The following is a 20,041-nucleotide window of genomic DNA, read 5'->3' on the forward strand; positions in this document are numbered from 1 at the left end:
GCTGGTCTCAAACTCCTGGCCCCAAGCTATTGCCCCACCTCATCCTCCCAAAGTGCTGGGATTATAGGTGTGAGCCACTGCACCTGGCCCATTTCATTTTTTATTATAGTTCTAATAGAGTAGTCTTCCATGGTTTTTCTTCTGTGGTTTATACCCAAGTTACAGTACAACAAGATATTTTGAGAGAGTGAGCAAAACCACATTCACATAACTTTTATTATAGTATATTGTTATAATTGTTCTATTTTATTGTTGTTAGCAAGCGAAACCATTCACATAACTTTTATTATAGTATATTGTTATAATTGTTCTACTGTATTATTATTGTTAATCTCTACTGTGCCTAATTTATAAACTTTACCATAGGTATGTACATATAGGAAAAAACATACTACATATAAAGTTTAGTATTACCTGTGGTTTCAGGCATCCACTGGAGGTCTTGGAATGTATTCCCCATGGATAAGGGAGGACTACTATAGTCTTTATCAGTGGTTCTCAAACGTGAGTGAATATCAGAACCACCTGGCTGGCATGTTACAGTGATTACTGGGCCTTACATACAGTTTCTGATTCAGCAGGCAAGGACCAAGATTTTAATTTTTAGGTTTCTAAGGGGTTCTGATGCTGATGGTACAGGGTCTACACATGAGACCTACTCATCTATAAAAAGAAAATTACAGACAACACTCTCATTCATTTTAACTATGTTTATTGTGCACTTAGTAGGCCAGATACTCTTCTGATATTTGAGAATACAGTGGTGAATAACACAAACTCCATGCTTTCAAGATTCCCACACCCAGATACTAAGACATATTAAAATTTACAGCAATTAAAACAGTGTAGTTTGGTACAATAACACATATAGCAATGATACAAATTAGGGGAAAAAACCCTGGCTTCTATAACAAGTGAGTATACATTAAAGACAGTATTGCAGAATGGCTTCAGGATTAATTTGATTAATTTAGAGAGAGCCTATTTCAGGTCTTCCTAGCTCATCCACACACATCACCTTTCAGTGTTCTTTATAGGTACTTAAAACTTAAAAAAAGGCCCAGGCGCGGTGGCTCCTGCCTGTAATCCCAGCACTTTGGGAGGCCGAGGCAGGTGGATCATGAGGTCAGGAGATTGAGACCATCCTGGCTAACAAAGTGAAACCCCGTCTCTATTAAAAATACAAAAAAATTAGCCGGGCGTGGTGGCGGGCGACTGTAGTCCCAGATACTTGGGAGGCTGAGGCAAGAGAATGGTGTGAACCCAGGAGGCGGAGCTTGCAGTGAGCTGAGATCGCGCCACTGCACTCCAGCCTGGGTGACAGAGCGAGACTCTGTCTCAAAAAAACAAAACAAAACAAACTTAAAAAAGATAATGTGGCACCAAATTTGTAAGATACTTTGAAATTCATAATTTCAGATGGATGTGGCTGGTAAGGATCTTAACAAGCCCCCAGTTTGGGCTGACTTTTACTAATGAGGAAAATTGTTAGGATTAAGCAGGGTCTTGAGGAATCACCTCTAAAGGCTCAGACTTTAAAGTGCTTCCCCTCCCTTCCCTACCCCAACATTTGGAGAAATCTCTCACTAGATGGCCTTTCAAATAAATGAGAAACACATGGTTCTAGGACAATTGATTATTTGAGAAAAAAGTATACTCTAATAAATTCCAGATAGAATAAAGGTTAATGTGAATAAACAAAAACAAAGAGAATATGGGTAATTCTTTTTTTAAAATTTATTTCTATTTTTTATTTTTTTTGAGACAGTTCTTACTCTGTTGCCCAGGCTGGAGTGCAGTGGTGCAATCATAGCTCACTGCAGCGTTGAACTCCTGGGCCCAAGCCATCCTCCTGCTTAGCCTCCTGAGCAGCTGGGACTACAGGTGTGTGTCGCTACACCTGGCTATTTTTTATTTTTTGTAGAGATAGGGGTATTGCTTTGTCGCCCAGGCTGGGCTCAGATTCCTGGCTTCAAGCAATTCTCCCACCTTGGCTTCCCAAAGTGTTGGGATTACAAGCATGAGCCATTGTGTCTGGCCTGGGTGATTCTTTATCTGACATAGAGGTTGGGAAACAGAACAACAAAAAAAAATTGATAAATTACATAACTTACAAATTAGTAAGAAAGATATGACCATACTAATGGAAAAAAGTTAATTCAAAAACTTTTGACCTTAAACTAACTTTTTGGATATTAGGCTTCCTGAAGTTCAAGAGTGACATATTAGGCTTATATTAGGCTTATTTGTAATGTTTGAATTATACAGGAAACATTGTCAAGTGTGAGGTGGTGTTTAGCTTCCTTTGGGTTATACTGATAGAGATTTGTTGTTAATATGTGTTCCAGGATTGTATGAGAGTTCTAAAATTCTGATATGTCTTAATATATGTTGTAATGATTATGTTAAATTGTTGTAAGCCACAGAAATAGCCACATTTGTCAACTGTGTCTTTATGGCTGTCTTAAGACTTTTGTCATCCATAATTGATGTTTTGCTCTGATCCTTCTCAAAAAAAAAAAGTGACTTATAATCAGCTACAGTCCAAGGCTTACTTCTTTGGAGTTCATGAAAAGAACTCTTGAATGCAGGTTTCTGGTAACTTTGGAGAGTGTGCCATTGGATTAGACAGAAAACTTCCAAGGCACTAATTGAAAGGCTGATGTGTTCATAAAGATGAATATGAAGTAGAGCAGGAGTTGATTACATGGACTGAAATGAACTAATGGAAGACTGAAATAATTTGTATGGCTTTTGTTGTTTGAAATATTGCTACTTCTTTTTGTTTTTTCAGAGTCTGAATAATCTTTTTATTTTGAGCTATTTATAGCCTTGAAATACACTTTAAGTGTATTGAGTATTCTAATTTCTCCAGAATTTGTAAACTATTTATGAATATTCTTAATTCATGGCATTTGTCTGTATAAAGTTAATAACCACGTTTTCTTTTGTAATAGGGCACAATTGAAACCGGTTACTTTCTCAGGACTTTGACTGAAATGGCCTTGTGAAATGTTCTAGCAAAGCCAATCTAGGAGAGTCTATATGGACAATGATTCTTGTTGCACTTTGTGTGGGTAATCAGGCCCAGTATATGGGACTGCAGTTTATTTTGAAGTTAGGTCGGTTCTGCTGTGATTTGTCTTTGGTGGAAGTGGTAGACTGGAGACAGAAATATTGTATGTCCCTAAATTAATATAGCTCCCAACAACCAATCCCTCATTATACCTTTAACTGCAACCACCAGACACAACGGCTAGGAATAACAGCAGAGGTAGGAATGGGAGTTAGCGGGATTGCAACTTCCCTATCCTATTACCAACGCTTGTCCAAGGATTTTATGGAAAGCCTGGATAACATTGCTCAAAGTATTGTCACCTTACAAATTCGGATAGGCTCCTTGGCAGTGGTCGCTTTGCAAAATCGAAGGGGACTAGATCTCCTAACTGCTGAAACAGGTGGCTTATGTATTTTCCTAGAAGAAGAATGCTGTTTTGATGTCAACCAATCAGGATTAGTAAGGGACACCACCTGAAAACTAGCTGACTGGGCCTCTAAAATATGACAACAGCTGGGGCACCTAAAGGGCACTAAGTTGGGTTTCATGGCTCCCTCCCTTGGCCAGCCCATTATTAATGATTATATTTGCCTTGGTTTTTGGACCATATCTGTTAAATCTTTTAACCAAATCCATTTCCTTTTGCCTAGAGACCACCAAGTTAGATGATCATGTGACAAGATTTCTAGCCAGTTTCAGGAGAAGACACCACCGGCCATCAAGAAGCTACCCTGTCTCCCCTAGACAAAGCAGGGTGAGAGTTACGTGATCTCCAATAGGTAGGGACTGTGTCCCAAGTTAGCATGAAGCAGTTACAGAAGAAAGACCCTCAGTCTCTCAGCCTCCCATAAAGATTTACGAGGATCACGTCTCTCAGGGGGAAAATGAGGCAGGAGAATAGGGTCTGGAGACAGGGAACCTAAGGCTGATTCACATTGACTTCCTAGAACTGAATCAAAAGGAAAACCCCACCTCTCCATACCTAAGTAACAAAAGGATCAGAGGCTACTCCCTTTGCAATCCCCTTGCCTTTTCTGCATTGCAGATGAAAAATGAAAGTGCCTCTGATTGGTCCCCTCCTGCAACCAATCAGACTGGTCATAGGCCAAGTCCTCATTTACACAGGAGTATAACTTTGTAACTTCACTTCAGCCTCTGATTGGTCACTTTCTGCACCAATCAGACAGGTCACGGGCCACTACTTCATTTACACAGGGTGTACGCCAAGTAACCAATGGCAAACCTCTAGAGGATATTCATTGCTTTGTGCGTTTTGTTCAATTATTTGTCCAAAATGCCAAGAACCTGGACACCCTCCACCAGTAACAGTTTGACCAGTTATTTATTGTATTACTTAGGACTGCATTTGGCTGCATATAAAAGAAACCTGACCAAGGCCTAATTAAGCACAGTGTTTATTCTTCTCACTACCAAGAAGTCAGAGGTCAGCAATCCAAGCTGGTGTAGCAGCTCCTCCAGGCATGTCAGCAAGGAGCCAAGCTCTGAGTCTTTTTACTAACATGACCCAAAGCACATGGCTGCCTTCCTTATGCCTAAAAGTGGCTCTGGTACTCAGGTTTTATCTCTGCACTCCAAGTAGGATGAAAAGATAAGAGCAAAGGCTCATGTTTGCCAAGTCTGTCCTTTTGTAACAAAAAACCCAGCAGCTTTATCAAGCAGAATTCCACCTGTATTTCTTAACTTGCCAGAGCTGAGTCTCATGGCCACCCTTAGCAGGAGTTGGGGAGGTATTTTTAACAAGGCACATTATCATCTCCCCCACCCAAAGTGGAGCTATTGCTAATGAAAAAGATACAATGAGATGTTTATGAAATTATCTGTAGCTATTAATGTCAGGTTTTTGAAATTTACTGACCTGGAAGAATACTCGTAATGCAATGTCAAGTGAGAAGCAGGACAAAGAACATTTGCAATACAGTTGTATTTATAAAATTTTGTTTACACACAAAAAATGTATTTTGCTTAAAAATATAATTTACATATATATACAACCACACAAGGGAAATAACAAAATGTTAATACTAGCTAATTTCTATAGAGTTGGCATTTTAAGTCAGAGGGGTATTGATGAATAGATGTAGTTTATTAAATTTTTTTCTCTATTTCCTAAACTTTCTATAAAGAACTTGTAGTATCTTTATAATAGGAAAAAATGTGATTTTAATGAACACTCCATATACTTTCAAAGTAGACTAAATTCAAAATATTTACACTTACTCATTTTCATCTTCGTTGTCAAAAGAAAGGAGGCTACTATTTTTAATTTGTTTTTGTGAGTTCTTTTTGACCGAGTCCTGATTTACTTCATCTTCATTTGGCTTCTTCTTTTTTGAGCTTGCTGTTAAACCTGAATATTTTTCATCTGAGGGATGCTTGACTGGTTTTCGATATATGATTCTTCCATCGGCTGGAGTTGGTTCTTCATCTGAGCAAAAACAGAATTTTTAAGAACTTTCTTCTCCTCATTATTTTGCCTTTACCTTAGAAGCAAATAATAAGAAAATCTCATATTGTATTTAAGGATATCCCTGAATCTGATTCAGTCTGGTCTTCTCCATTGTTTCTAGCTATATTGCCCTCAAGGCATGCAGTTACTTAATAAAAACTCACATGCTAAAGTATTCTATAATATTGTCAGTTCCCAATTACAATCAGGTTGTATTTTTAAGTAGTTTGAAAAGTGACTGTTTGGAACTACAGCATTTTCCCCTAAAGCAATGTAGTAAATGTTCAGAAATAATGAAAAATATACTACATATCATACCAAACTTCAGGCAGTAATGAAATACACCTTTTTTGACTGGTTTATAAGTCTAACCATCTATTTAAAAAAAAAAAATAGGATGCTTTTACTTAAATTCACACTTAATCCTGGTAACAACCCAATAGGTACAATTATTTCCATTTTACTGATGAGGAAATCGAGGCTGAGAGGTGTAATAACTTGCTCAAGGTTACACATCTGGTAAGTGTCAAAGCTAAGGCTTGAACCCGGAACTGCCACCTTGAAACACACCACACTACTAAATAAAATAAACAATTTCATACCCTGGGCTCCTTAAATTGTTAGAAAAACCAGATTACTTTTAGACCTACCTGCTTTGGCAGCCTTTATTTCTGCTTTAATTTTCATGACTTCTTCAACTGACAGGTCTCCCTTTTTTAAAACCACCACTTGAGGCTGTTCATCTTCTTTGTCACTGTGATCCCCATCTTCATCTGGGGGCTGAGGCTGAATTCTCTAGGGAAAAACACAAATACAATGTGTAGATCACTGATCTTGAGACAAACAGAACCACTGCCTCTAAGAGAAACTGTAATTATTTATGAGAAGGGTATCTTTATTGAGTAAATAAGGGCAATGAATTTTAAGGTAACTCCAAAGAGACTTAGCTTGCCACACAAGGGAACAGGTTTAACTGCCATTCAGCCTGGAGTGCCTGTCCGGTGGGATTCATTTCCATCTCAGCAGGACCCAGCTTGTAGTTACTAGTGTGAGGGACCCTCTGCTTTGGGTACTGCTGTCACTCCTAGCCTACTCAGGGCAGCACTGTGCCATGTCAGTTGTTTGCTCCTCATCAGCACTTTTTGCCTGTCTCTTCTCTGAGTTAGACAAGAAATAAACACCATCAAAGTACAGAAAGCAGCAAGTAAAACGTACTCTCTCTCTCACCTCTGCTCATCTTTTCCCCCTCCTAATAGCTTCAGTTTGGTGGATATTCTATCAGCTATTTTCCACGTCTATACAACTATGTAGGTACATAAAACTTTTTGTATACCAACAACACTGTACTTATTCCTGTGACTTGCTTTTTCCCTATTTATGAAATTTCTCAAACATAAAGTACAGAGAATAACATAACAGAAACCATGTACTCCCTGTATATGTGTAACAGATGGTAATATTTTGCCAGTTGATTCAGATTTTTGAAATGTGAGACACCGTAAGAGCCCCACTCCCACAACTTAACTCAAAAAATATCTTTGTACAGTACTTTAAGATATAGAATTATCTGATTTTTAAAAAATCACTGCCTTGCATTTAATTACATATATGGTCACCTCAAGATTTATTTGACCAGCATCTTGTAAATACAAATTTTGCTCGTTTCCAGATTTTTTTCTACTATGAAAAAACCTCATGCACCCATTTTTGCTCACTTTTGGGAACTTGTATGCAAGAACTTTTAATGTTAACAGTTCACTAGAGGTGGAACTGTTGGGTTGAAAGGTATGCATACCAAAATATGTTTTCATATGTTATTCAAACACAATCACTCATTACTCCACTTCTCATAGAGACTTCCTGGTCTCCCAAACAAGGCGACAAAGCCCTGCAAGAATTAGCCTCAGCCCATAACCACAGCTTTATCCTGTACCACTCTCTCATGGCATCTAGACTCTGGCATGGCAAGGTTTGAGTACTTGGAGATTTATAAATATATTAGCTCCTTTGCTTCCCCTGTCTCTGAACAAATTCCTACGGCTTATTAAGCCCCACAGCCCCTGAGCAACTCCTACTCAAGCTGCCTTCCAGATTTAGAGCCTCTAGAAGTGCTTACCTAAATCTCACCTTCTCTTGTTTCTTACACTGTGCATAGCTCATAGGTAGCATGTATTGCACTGTGGTACCAATGTTTTTCTGCTGGTTTCCACTGGGCAAGTGCCTTCTGGAGAGGCACAAAGCCTGGAAAACAGCAGGGACTTCCAGAAATATTTGTTGATCTACTCATGAATGACCAACAGAATGGAAAATGATGAACTACATGAAGCCCTGGCAAGTTGCTTGTGCCATTTTAACTATAACTCAAGTTCTCAAGTCTGCTCTATCACTGCACAAGTACATTCTCTTTAATGGTATCTATGTTAGTTCACTGATTATTCATCAGTTTCTGCCAATTTTTCTCTGAAAGTCTCCAATAAATGACCACAAATAGGTAGTAAGTATTTTTAGCCAAAAATATGGGAAAGTGAAATAAAATCATTCCTTTTGTTTGTTAAATTGAGAATAATTAATTCTGACTCTCTTCTCTTTTTTTCTTTTTAAATGTGACTGCCTGGAAAACAAGAGAAATAGTCTAAGGACAGTGGCAGTAGCCACTGATGACTGTTCAGAGACATTTCTGAATTAACTCTCAAGAAAGTGAATAGGGCCAGGCGCAGTGGCTCATGCCTGTAATCCCAGCACTCTGGGAGGCCTAGGCAGGCAGATCACTTGAGGTCAGCAGTTCAAGACTAGCCTGGCAAACATGGTGAAACCCCCCGTCTCTACTAAAAATACAGAAATTACCTCGGTGTGGTGGTGGGCACCTGTAATCCCACCTACTTGGGTGGCTGAGGCAGGAGAATTGCTTGAACCCAAAAGGTGGAGGTTGCAGTGAGCTGAGATCGAGTCACTGCATTTCAGCCTAAGCAACAGAGAAAGACTCCGCCTCAAAAAAAATAAAAGTGAATAGGATGATTTAGCTTAATTATGGAATGATTTCCCATGAAACTCATTTCTTTTTGTTAATAGATGACTAAAATCCTGACTGCAGTAGTCCCCTCCTTATCCTCAATTTCATGTTCCACAATTTCAGTTACCTGTGGTCAACTGTAGTATGAAAGAAGGGTGAGTACAGTACAATAAAATATTTAGAGACAGCAAGCAAACAAGCAAATTCACACAACTTTTACTAGAGTATATTGTTATGATTGTTCTATTATTAGTTACTAATCTGCTGATATTCCTAATTTATATAGTAAACTTCATCATAGGTATATATGTATGGGAAAAAACATAGTATATATAGAATTCAGTATTATCCACTGGGGGTCTTGGAACATAATGGGGGAATACTGTATATTGCCAAACTGATTAAAAATGAAGTGGTTCTCACACTGAAACATGGCGTACTTCTCTAAGGGAAATTCCCTTGAGTACATAAATAAGCGAAAATCACTGATATTACTTGGAAAGGATTCCCGAAGTTCTCTTAAGATAGCATTCCAAGCTGTAACCTTCAAGCTGTCAACTGTGCATACAGGGTCATCACCAGGACCTCAAGCAAGGTAAAGCTGGGTCTCATCTTCTCCTCATCGCTCAATCTATGTCCCTTTTCTCAAACCTTACCCTCTTTGTCATCATCCCTATTTTTAGTCATGGGGATCAGTCATTCCCTGTGTTACCTCTAAGAAAAAAATGGCTCCCTGTTGCTTACTAAATAGTCCACATGGCCTCACCTCCACTAGCCCCTCTAACACTTCTACATACAGTCCATGACTCTCAAATCTCTACACCTTTACCCATGCCATTCTCTTCATCTCTACCTGCTGACCTAACCATGCTCGAGAGTCTATCTAAATATCCCTCCTCCACGAAGTCTAACCTGATAACAGCACAGTCACCAACAAATACAACTGTTACCCACTACTTCGTGCCAGGCACTGTGCTAGGTGCTGGGAAAATACGGAAGGATTAAGATACTAACTTAAAGAGTTCAATCTAGTGGTGAAGATAAACAGGAAAGCAAGTAGTTGCAATATAAAATGAATGTTATAGATAAGATATGGATAAGGTAAAGAGAAAAACAGAAAGAGTAACTGTTTGGAGAGCTTTGAAGGGTTTCGGAGAGATGGTAACTTGTGAAAATAGGGCAGGAAGTGTTAAAGAACATGGCATTTTGGAGATCCATCTCTTCGTCCTTTCAGAGCCTGCGACAGTGCATGGGGTTAGCACATACTCATTCTACTGGCATACCTTGAAGATACCGCAGATTTGGTTCCAGACCACCACAACAAAGCAAGTATCAAAATAAATTGTCACACAAATTTTCTGGTTTCCCAGTTCACATAAAAGTTATGTTCACACTATACACTAACTACAGTTAGTATTAAGTATGCAATATCATTATGTCTAAAAAAATCTAGATCCCATTAAGTACACGATTCATGGGAGGAGGCAAAATATCAACATTAACAGGAGTCTGGAAGATGTACCTACCTTAATTTAAAAATACTTTATTGCTAAAAACATTAAAAATCATCTGAGCCTTCAGTGAGTCCTAATCTTTTTGCCAGTGAAGGGTCTGCCCTTGATGCTGATGGATGTTGACTGATGAGGGTGGTGGTTGCTGAAAGGCGGGGTGGCTGTGGCAATTTTTAAAAATAAGACGATGAAGTTTGCTGCATTGAGTCTTCCTTTCACAAAAGATTTCTCTTTTGTGATGCTGCAATGCTGTTTCATAGCATTTTACCCACAGCTGAACTCCTTTCAAAATTGGAATCAGTCCTCTTAAACCTGCTGCTGCTTTACCAAGTAAGTTTATTCTAAATCCTTTATTGACATTTCAACAATGTTCACAGCATCTTCACCAGAAGTAGATTCCATCTCAATAAACCACTTTTTTTGCTCATCAATAAGAAGCAACTCATCTGTTCAATTTTTATGAGACTGCAACAACTTAGTCACATTTTCAGGCTCTACTTCTAATTCTAGTTCTTTTGCTTGTTCTACCACACCTGCAATTACTTCCTCCACTGAAGGCCTGAATCTCTCGAAGTCATCCATGAAGGTTGGAATCAACCTCTTCCAAATTCCTGTTAATGTTGATATTTTGCCCTCTTCCCATGAATCATGGATGTTCTTAACGTGTTTAGAATGGTGAAGCCTTTCCATAAAGTTTTCAATTTACAATATCCAGATGCATCAGAGGAATCACTATCCATGGCAGCTGTAGCCTTACAAATGGTTTTGACTTTTTTTTTTTTTTTTGAGACAGGGTCTGGCTCTGTTACCCAGGCTCGAGTGCAGTGGTGCAATCATGGCTGACTGCAGCCTCAACCTACCTGGGGTCAGGGAATCCTCCCACCTCAGCCTCCCAAGTAGCTGGGACCACAGGTGCATGCCACCACACTGGGCTAAATTTTGTATTTTTTGTAGAGATGGGGTCTCACCATGTTGGCCAGGCTGGTCTTGAACTCCTGGGCTCAAGCAATCCACCTGCCTTGACTTCCCAAAGTGCTGGGATTACAAGTGTGAGCCATTGCGCCTGGCTGTTATTTCTTAAATAATAAGACTGAAAATAGAAATTACTCCTTGATCCATGGGCTGCAGAATGGATGTTGTGTTAGCAGGCATGAAAACCCCACGTTAATCTCCTTGTAGATCTCCATCAGAGTTCTTGGGTGACCAAGTGTATTGTCCATGAGCAATAATATATTGAAAGAATCTTTTTTTTTCTGAGCAGTAGGTCTCAACAGTGGGCTAAAAATAATTCAGTAAACCATATTATAAAGAGATGTGCTGTCATCAAGGTTTTGTTTTTCCATTTCTAGAGCACAGGCAGAGTAGATTTAGCATAATTCTTACGGACCCTAGGATTTTTGGAATGGTAAGTATTAGCTTCAACTTAAAAGTCACCAGCTGCATTAGCTCCTAATGAGAGAGTTAGCCTGTCCTTTGAAAATATGAAGCCAGGCACTGACTTCTCTCTAGCTATGAAAGTCCTAAATGGCCCAGGCATAGTGGTTTTTGAGAGGCTTTGAGAGGCTAAAGTGGGAGGATTGCTTGAGTCCAGGAGTTTGAGACCAGCCTTGGCAACACAGTGGAATCCTGTCTCTACAAAAAAATACAAAAATTAGCCAGATGCGTTAGTTCATGCCTGTAGTCCCAGCTGCTTGAGAGGCTGAGGCAGGAGGATCACTTGAGCCCAGGAGGTCAAGGCTGCAGTGAGCTGTGATTGCACCACTGCACTCTAGCCTGGGCGACAGAGTGAGACCCTATCTCAAAAAAAAAAAAAAAAAAAAAGTCCTAGATGGCATCTTCTTCCAATAGAAGGCTGTTTCATCTACATTGAAAACCTGTTTAGTGTAGCCACCTTCATCAACTATCTTAGCTAGATCTGAATAATTTGCTTCTTCATCTCATACTTTTATGTTATGGAGATGGCTTCTTTCCTTAAACCTCATGAACCAACCTCTGTTAGCTTCACACTTTTCTTCTGCAGCTTTCTCACATGTCTCAGACTTCACAGGATTTAAGAGTTAGGGCCTTGCTCTAGATTAGGCTTTGGTTAAAGGGAATGTTGTGGCTGGTTTGCTCTTCTATCCAGACCACTAAAACTTTCTCTGTATCAGCAATGTAGCTGTTTTGCTTTCTTGTCATTCATGTGTTCAATACTGATCCCTCCGGCCCTAGACAACAATAGTCAGGTGTGGCTCTTTCCTGAAGCTCCTCTTCTTCTATTTAGACCCAGGATATTTACGGCTTCTGCTTACTCTTCTTTTTTTTCTTTTTTTTGAGACGGAGTCTCGCTCTGTCGCCCAGTCTGGAGTGCAGTGGCGCGATCTCGGCTCACTGCAAGCTCCTCCTCCTGGGTTCACGCCATTCTCCTGCCTCAGCCTCCCGAGTAGCTGGGACTACAGGCGCCCGCCACCATGCCTGGCTAATTTTTTGTATTTTTAGTAGAGACGCGGTTTCACTGTTTTAGCCAGGATGGTCTCGATCTCCTGACCTCGTGATCTGCCGCCTCAGCCTCCCAGAGCGCTGGGATTACAGGCGTGAGCCACCAGGCCCGGCTTTTTTTTTTTTTTTTTGAGACGGAGTCTCGCTCTGTTGTCCAGGCTGGAGTGCAGCTGCGCCATCTCAACTCACTGCAACGTCCACCTCCCGGGTTCGAGCGATTCTGTCTCAGCCTCCGGAGTAGCTGGGACTACAGGCATGTGCCACCATGCCCGGCTAATTTTTGTATTTTTAGCAGAGACGGGGGGTTTCACCATATTGGCTATTGGCTCTGCTGGTCTCGAACTCCTGACCTCAGGTGATCCGCCCACCTAGGCCTCCCAAAGTACTGGGATTACAGGCGTGAGCCACTGTGCCCGACCTTCTCTATATTATTTTTATTTATTTTTAATTAACAAAGCATAGAAACAGATTCAGGACATTCCTCCGAAGACGTTCCAGACTCGAGTCCTAGGACATGGTTGGGGCGGGGGTCATTTGATCGAGTGGCCTGTGTCCTTATCTGGAATACGGGACGACGCTGTAACTCTAACTCACCCTGCGAACTCACAGCTTTTGAGGTAAACAAGTGAGAAAGAAGAGACAATAAAGTGATCTTTCTTTACCATCTACCAAGGACCAGGTGGTTTACACGTCAGTTCATTTTCAGGAACACAGCAGCGCTCTGAAAACTACAGAGCTTCCTGGGCGTAGGGGGCTGTGGTCGCTTGAAAAGAACCAGCCTGGGGGTCCGAGTTCCACCGGAATTGGGTTCGAGCGCGGGTGAAAAGAGGGACCCGACAGCACCCACCCTCCAAGTAGAGGCAAAAGTTGAAAGTGGCGGGCTGGCTGCGCTTCCGAAGAAACACGACTGGCGAAGGCTCACCTTAGTCTCTACGGTGGGTCCCTCCCTGTAGCCGACCCGTTCCTTGAAGCGGGCCAGAAACGCCGGCTCGGCTGGCCGCACGTACGATACCTGGTTCCGCTTGCTCATGGTAGCTCTGGGTAAAGACAGAAGACAGGTTCCGCGACGGATTCGCGACGATACAGAGGCGCTTAGCTGTGACGTCACTGGGCCACGCCCCCGATGCGTAGGCCGGGCAACATGGCGGCCTCCATGCGGGCGTCAACGTCCGATCCAAGCGCCAAATTCAAATTTGCGGCCATCTTGAGCGGGCGGAATTCAGTCGCGCGCGGTGCAGTCGGGAGGTGGAGGCACCGGCTGCATTGTTTTCGGGATCGAGGGGTGAGGGCGCTATGGCACCCGGCTGCAAAAGTAAGTCTGGGCCCCCGGCTTCGTTACCCTATTTTTGCCCCCAAATACAGCTGTGAAAGGATGGCAGCCTCGGACCGCCCGCAAGGTTCTTGCTAGGCATGAACTGCAGGAGCTGAGTGACCGGCGGGGACGTTTGGGAATCCCGCTCTGTCGCTCAAAGACAATACGCTAGCCGAAAAGCTCATCCCTTCCTTCAGTGTCCTGTGCGCATGCCAGGAGTCTGGCGCAGTTCTAGGCGCTCGGGATGAGCAGTGGACCTGACGTTCTTCCCTTTCTTTCCCTTGGTTCTGCTGTTTCTTCGCAGGCCTCTTCCCACATCCCGACCAGGGCTACCTCTCTAGATATCCTTGTCTCAGGATCGGCTTTTGCTCCCACCAGCTTCTGCGTATTTCTACATTTCTGACCTTCCTATAGGGAAGGGTTTATTTATATTCCAAACATTTCTTTCTCCTCTTTCCTTAAATAAATGGAATGTTAAAACACAGATGTCAGCAATGTCTTTATGTTCTCACAGTCTCTATTTTCACTTAAAGGAGACCCGTCCGATTTCTTTCTCTTTTTCACGGAGGAGAGCACTGTCATTTTGCTTATGATAAACCCTACAGTTTTCACTAACGTAGTCATTTGCTGTGCCTGTGTACGTGCTCCACTTCTCACATTGCCACATCTCTTAAGGAGTCTTATTTTTGTAAACCTGATTATGAGCTGATTTAATGGGATCTTTGTGAGTGGTCTGAATGGTAATGAGGAGAGGCCTGGATTAGATGATTAAGAATTTGTGAACTTCTGTCATTTGAGCTTTCCAACGCCGTTAATGTTTCTAGCTTTCTGTCAATTGTAGTCGTTTTTGATGGGTTTGTTGTTTCATTAATCTTTTAGGTCGATCACACCTAATCGGAACACCTCCTTATGCTACCTTTTTGCATATAAAATATTCCTTTTCCTTTCATCATTTTCAGTATTCAAGGACTATGAGCTCACAAAATGGTACCTTATTGGAGAGAAATGTTCATCCTGCTTTCTGAACAATCATACTGTTTGTTCTTTGTTTCCACTTTATGGATCAGTCACTAAATCTGGACTCAAGCAAAAAATTTGATGCCTGTTAAATAAGTAAAACATCTGCTTATTTAATGAGATATATGTATGTGACTGAGGGCTCTTGTCTGAAAACCAAATTTGAGAACCTTTCTAAAGTGGTGGGAGCACTCTCCTTTATGATGGTGGTGATGCCATGGGGAACTTTTCCACTCCTTTAAGTTTGTTGGCAAAATTGAGGTTGATGACTTCCCAGTTAAAGTGCTTCTTGCATTCCCAGCAGCCCAGAGGCCTGGAGCATGAAGTGGGAACACATGGGAGAAGAGAGCCCGTGCAGTGGTCTTTGCAACTTTTACTTTGTGCCCCGAAGGCTATCTCTCTCTCTCTTTTTTATTTTTGAGACAGAGTCTTGCTCTATTGCCGGGCTGGAGTGCAGTGGTGCGATATTGGCTCACTGCAACCTCCGCCTCCCGGGTTCAAGAGATTCTCCTGCCTGAGTCTCCCAAGTAGCTGGGATTACAGGCACGCGCCACCATGCCCAGCTAATTTTTTTATTTTTAGTAAAGCCGGGGTTTCACTGTGTTGGCCAGGATGGTCTCGATCTCCTGACCTCGTGATTTGCCCACCTTGGCCTCCCAAAGTGCTGGGATTACAGGCATGAGCCACCACACCCGGCCCCATGAAGGCTATCTCTAGTGACATCATTGACACCATGAGTTGCTGACTGTGAAATCAGAGAAATGAAAAAGTGAAATATACGATTCCCCCCTTTTTTTTTTTAAAGACAGTGTTGCTCTGTCACCCAGGCTGGCTGGAGTGCAGTGACGCAATCTTGGCTCACTGCAATCTCCACCTCCTGGGTTCAAGCAGTACTCGTGCCTCAGCCTCCCAAGTAGCTGGGACTACAGGCGTGCACCACCATGCCCTGCTAATTTTTTGTATTTTAGTAGAGACAGGGTTTCACCATGTTGCCCAGGCTGGTCTTGAACTCCTGAACTCAAGCAATCCACCTGCCTTGGCCTCCCAAAGTGCTAGGATTACAGGCGTGAGCCACTGCACCTGGCCTAAGATTCCCTTTCTGAACCCAATCATGTTTGGGCAAATGACTGATGAGTATTTATCTAGACTGCAGAGTAAAGCATCCAATGGTCTGTTTTAAAGCAGGAAGACTCTTTAAAAGACTTACTGTTTTGTTGAGGTATAGCTTCATGCAGTTAAGGGCACAAATCTTAATATTATTCAACAAATTTTTACATATAAATACACTAATGTAACCACCATCCAGATCAAGAAATAGAACTGTTCCTGTACTCCAGAAAGTTCCCTGTGACCCTTCCTAGTCAATAACTACCTGATCCCCAACCATTACTCTGATTATTATTATCACTGATTAGTTTTGCTTCTATTCTTGAACTTAATATAAATGGTACAGTATGTATTCTTTTTTTATTCTGGTTTCTTCAACTGAACATTATGTCTGTGATCATTGTCCATCATTGTATGTAGCAGCAGTTCTTTTTCATTGCTGTGTAGTGTTCCATTATGTGAGTATACCATGATTTGTTTATTCTCCTGTTGATTGACATTTGGGTTTTTATTATAGTTAGGGCTGTTATGAATAAAGCTACTGAGAATAGACTTAAGCATATTTTTAGATGGACACATAGAGGACCTCAAAGTTGAAAGAATTTTACAGTGAATGCCTATAGACTTCATTTTTTTCTTTTCTTTTTTGAGACAGAGTCTTGCTCTGTCACCCAGGCTGAAGTGCAGGGGTGCGATCTTGGCTCACTGCAACCTCCATCTCTGTTCAAGTGATTACTCCTGCCTCAGCCTCCTGAGTAGCTGGGACTACAGGCAACCACCACCAAGCCTGGCTATTTTTTATATTTTTAGTAGAGGCAGGGTTTCACCATATTGGCAAGGCTGGTCTCAAACTCCTGACCTCAAATGATCCACCCACCTTGGTCTCCCAAAGTGTTGGGATCACAGGTGTGAGCCACTGCACCCAGCCTAGACTTCCTTTAAATGTCAAAATTTTATGACAGCCACATGATAAACTTTTATACTCTCTTTAACCTTTGATCAAGAGGTAGCATATTGAGGTGGTTAAGAGTAGGAGATCTGGATTTAGCATGCCTTCGTTCAAATCCTAGCACTTCTCAATGATGTTTCCTTAGATCTCAATTAGAAATAATGCCAGAACTATCTACATTTGTGTAGTTTTAAATTTCACTTTCTCTCGCTATTTGCTTATTAACTTTTCTTCTTTTTTTATCAAGTAAACATTTTACTTTGGGTTCCTTTTAGATTTACCAGAAAGTTGCACATAAGTGCAGATCAGTATCCATCTAATCATTTTCCATCTGATCAGTTACAGAGATCTCTGCAGAAATGAAGAGCTGGCAGCCTACCTTCTGGGGCTTCTTATTGTTGTTTGCTTGTGTATTTGCTTAGCAACTGGCTGGATCAATTTAGTGAAGTCTATTTCCCTCCTATACTGTTAAGCCTTTGATATTGCTCCTCAGGAATCCAAAGCTCCAGCTTTGGATATGCCCACCTTTATCCTGGGATGACAGTGGTTTTGGTAGGGATCTCTTTCTTTCTATGACTGCACACAGCTGTTAAACTCCAGTAATTGTTAGCTGATTGCTCTATTGTTTTTTAACAATGCCCTGGGCATAAATTGTCTTACAAACTACTTCAATTCTTGCTCCATTGAAGGAGTAGTTTTTGAGGTTTTCTTTCATATTTCTTGTGACTCCAGTGTAGCTACTCCTAATTGTCTTATATCCCCATTGTCTTCTGCAAGTGAACAGGCCTGCAATTTAGCTTGTATCTTGAATGTCTTCCTAATTACTTTCACTAAAACCTACACTGTTCCTGAGAGTGCCCTTAGGTTTGAACTTCTCTCCACCCCCTCTCCCCCAGACGGAGTCTCGCTCTGTCACCTAGGCTGTACCACAGTGGCGTGGACTCAGCTCACTGCAACCTCCACCTCCTGAGTTCAAGCGATTCTCCTGCCTCAGCCTCCCAAGTAGCTGAGATTACAGGCATGTGCCACCATGCCCAGCTAATTTTTGTTTTGTATTTTTAGTAGAGAGACGGGGTTTCACCATGTTGGTCAGGCCGGTCTCAAACTCCTGACCTCAAATGATCTACCTGCCTCGGCCTCCCAAAGTGCTGGGATTACATCATGAGCCACCACACCTAGACAGGTTTGAACTTCTCTATGCTTTGTTGCAAATGAATTCAGCTCCTTTGGGAAGAGATTAGGAGTTATCTGTTTATGGGCTGATTCTTCCTTTAGGCAAAATCTCAGAGCCTGGGGACTTGAGTTGGGGATGGGGATAATGGCAGTCTTGTCTCTGAGTGATACCCTTTGTAGTTGCTGAGCATTTTGTGGGGAAGGTGGGGAGTGTAGCAGCCCACCTTCTAGACTTTCCTTTCCTTGTGCAGAACCACTGCCTAATGAGTTGGGGCAAGGGTGATCAGGGCCCCAGTGTTCTTAGCATGCAGTTGCAAGATGAGGGCTGTGTGGGAGAAGGGAGAGCCCTCACCTCTCAACCACACTTGTCTGGGACTTTATCTGAGCATCAGGTAGCTAGCTGGAGACACAATGATACACTGACATCCTGCTACTCTGTGGAGGAACCCCTTGCAATTAGGAGCTGGAGGGATCCCTGTGTTCTTGGCTGCTGCAATCTACAGTGGAGTGTTTGCCTTGCTGAGATGGGAGGGAGACAGCAATCTTGTTTCAAATAACACAGGATCAACTTTCTTGATGAATTTTCATGAATGTTCTTGAACAGATGTTTCTTGGTTTGCTGTTTGTCTTTGGGAACATTTCCAGAGGCTTTAATTTTCTTTTCTTTTCTTTCTTTCTTTTTTTTTTTTTTTTTTTTTGAGATGGAGTCTCACTCTGTCTCCCAGGCTGGAGTGCAGTGGCGTGATCTCGGCTCACTGCAAGCTCCGCCTCCTGGGTTCACGCCATTCTCCTGCCTCAGCCTCCTGGGTAGCTGGGACTACAGGCGCCTGCCACCATGCCTGGCTAATTTTTTGTATCTTTAGTAGAGACGGGGTTTCACCGTGTTAGCCAGGGTGGTCTCGATCTCCTGACCTCGTGATCCGCCCGCTTCGGCCTCCCAAAGTACTGGGATTACAGGTGTGAGCCACCGTGCCCGGCCAACTTTCTTTTTTTAAATTTCACCAGTTTCACTGGGGAGTGGGTCAGTGGAATTCCTCATAATGTCATGTCAGAAGTCAATCTCTGAACTCTTTTTTAACAGAATTATTCTGCCCGCTAGGTTGAGAAAAGATGAGAGTGGGGGAGAAAGAGAAGCAGAAAGACTATTGTAATAACACAATAAAGAGATATTGCTGGCTTGGTTCTACACTGTGGCAGTGGATTTGGCAAGAAGTTGTTGGATTGTGGGTATATTTTGAAATTAGAGCCAAAGCTTTGCTGAGATTGGATACGAAGAGTGAGAAAGAACAGGGTCAGGGATGACTATATGGTTTTTGGCCTAAGCAACTGGAAAGATGGAGTTAACGGAGATGTAGAAACACATTTGGGCTAGAGGTGGGGTGATCAGGAGCTCAATTTTGGACACATTAAATTTGATTCATTGCCCACTGCATATCCAGTTAGAGATATCAAATAGGTAATAAGTTGTAAGAGTGTGGAGCTCGGCTGGGCGTGGTGGCTCACGCCTGTAATCCCAGCACTTTGGGAGGCCGAGGCGGGTGGATCATGAGGTCAGGAGATGGAGACCATCCTGGCTAACAAAGTGAAACCCCGTCTCCACTAAAAATACAAAAAATTCTCAGGGCGTGGTGGCAGGCCCCTGTAGTCCCAGCTACTCCGGAGGCTGAGGCAGGAGAATGGCATGAGCCCGGGAGGTGGAGCTTGCAGTGAGCGGAGATTGCGCCACTGCACTCCAGCCTGGGCAACAGAGCGAGACTCCATCTCAAAAAAAAAAAAAAAAAAAAAGGAGTGTGGAGCTCAGGACAGCAGTCCAGGAAGGTTTAAATTTGTGAATCATCAATTTGTACCTAGTATTTAAAAACAGGCCAGGCATGGTGGCTCACTACTGTAATCCCAGCACTTTGGGAGGCCAACGCGGGCAGATCACAAAGTCAGGAGATCAAGACCATCCTGGCCAAC

The 20,041-nt window shown here is 42.1% G+C and overlaps 2 protein-coding genes across 15 annotated transcripts in view, besides 2 other annotated features; one reads left to right on the forward strand and one right to left on the reverse strand.

Annotated features, from left to right (window-relative positions):
* Positions 1-695: 695 nt before the first annotated feature.
* KIAA1143 lies at positions 696-13,571 on the reverse strand. Of its 2 annotated transcripts, none has more exons than NM_020696.4 (3): positions 13,447-13,571; positions 6,176-6,320; positions 696-5,504 (listed from the first exon to the last, which is right to left on the reverse strand). In NM_020696.4, the coding sequence occupies exons 1-3, from the start codon at positions 13,552-13,554 to the stop codon at positions 5,293-5,295; spliced, it is 465 nt and encodes a 154-aa protein (NP_065747.1). In that variant the 5' UTR covers positions 13,555-13,571; the 3' UTR covers positions 696-5,292. The 2 variants fall into 2 exon arrangements, with proteins under 2 accessions (NP_065747.1, NP_001307263.1); NM_001320334.2 differs by having other exon boundaries at positions 696-5,559.
* Positions 12,084-12,726: an enhancer, noted in NCBI's record as "H3K4me1 hESC enhancer chr3:44801624-44802266 (GRCh37/hg19 assembly coordinates)". NCBI's record gives its function as "activates a minimal SCP1, AML or CMV promoter by ChIP-STARR-seq in naive and primed H9 embryonic stem cells {active_cell/tissue: H9 hESC(naive and primed)}" and the evidence as "EXISTENCE:reporter gene assay evidence [ECO:0000049][PMID:30033119]".
* Positions 13,517-13,796: an enhancer, noted in NCBI's record as "active region_19771". NCBI's record gives its function as "activates an Ori minimal core promoter by ATAC-STARR-seq in GM12878 lymphoblastoid cells {active_cell/tissue: GM12878}" and the evidence as "EXISTENCE:reporter gene assay evidence [ECO:0000049][PMID:35858748]".
* KIF15 (kinesin family member 15) overlaps positions 13,746-20,041 on the forward strand; it is a 106,894-nt gene continuing 100,598 nt past the window's right edge. For all 13 annotated transcript variants that reach the window (XR_007095708.1, XR_007095709.1, XR_007095710.1 and 10 more), the window contains exon 1: positions 13,746-13,836. Coding sequence is in view for 7 of the 13 variants with exons in the window: in XM_017006884.3 (XP_016862373.1) it covers positions 13,818-13,836 (19 nt within the window). In the remaining 6 variants the exon portion in view is untranslated. The remainder of the gene's footprint in view (positions 13,837-20,041) is intronic.

The sequence above is a fragment of the Homo sapiens genome, chromosome 3 (assembly GCF_000001405.40).
Source record: "Homo sapiens chromosome 3, GRCh38.p14 Primary Assembly".
NCBI lineage: Eukaryota > Metazoa > Chordata > Mammalia > Primates > Hominidae > Homo > Homo sapiens.

Excerpts from the sequence above, each read along its gene's own strand:
- KIAA1143 (NM_020696.4), bottom strand. The coding sequence starts at position 13,554 with ATGAGCAAGCGGAACCAGGTATCGTACGTGCGGCCAGCCGAGCCGGCG. Across the intron at positions 6,321-13,446 it reads GACCCACCGTAGAGACTAAG|AGAATTCAGCCTCAGCCCCC; the intron begins GTGAGCCTTCGC and ends GTTTTTCCCTAG. Across the intron at positions 5,505-6,175 it reads AATAAAGGCTGCCAAAGCAG|ATGAAGAACCAACTCCAGCC; the intron begins GTAGGTCTAAAA and ends GTTTTTGCTCAG.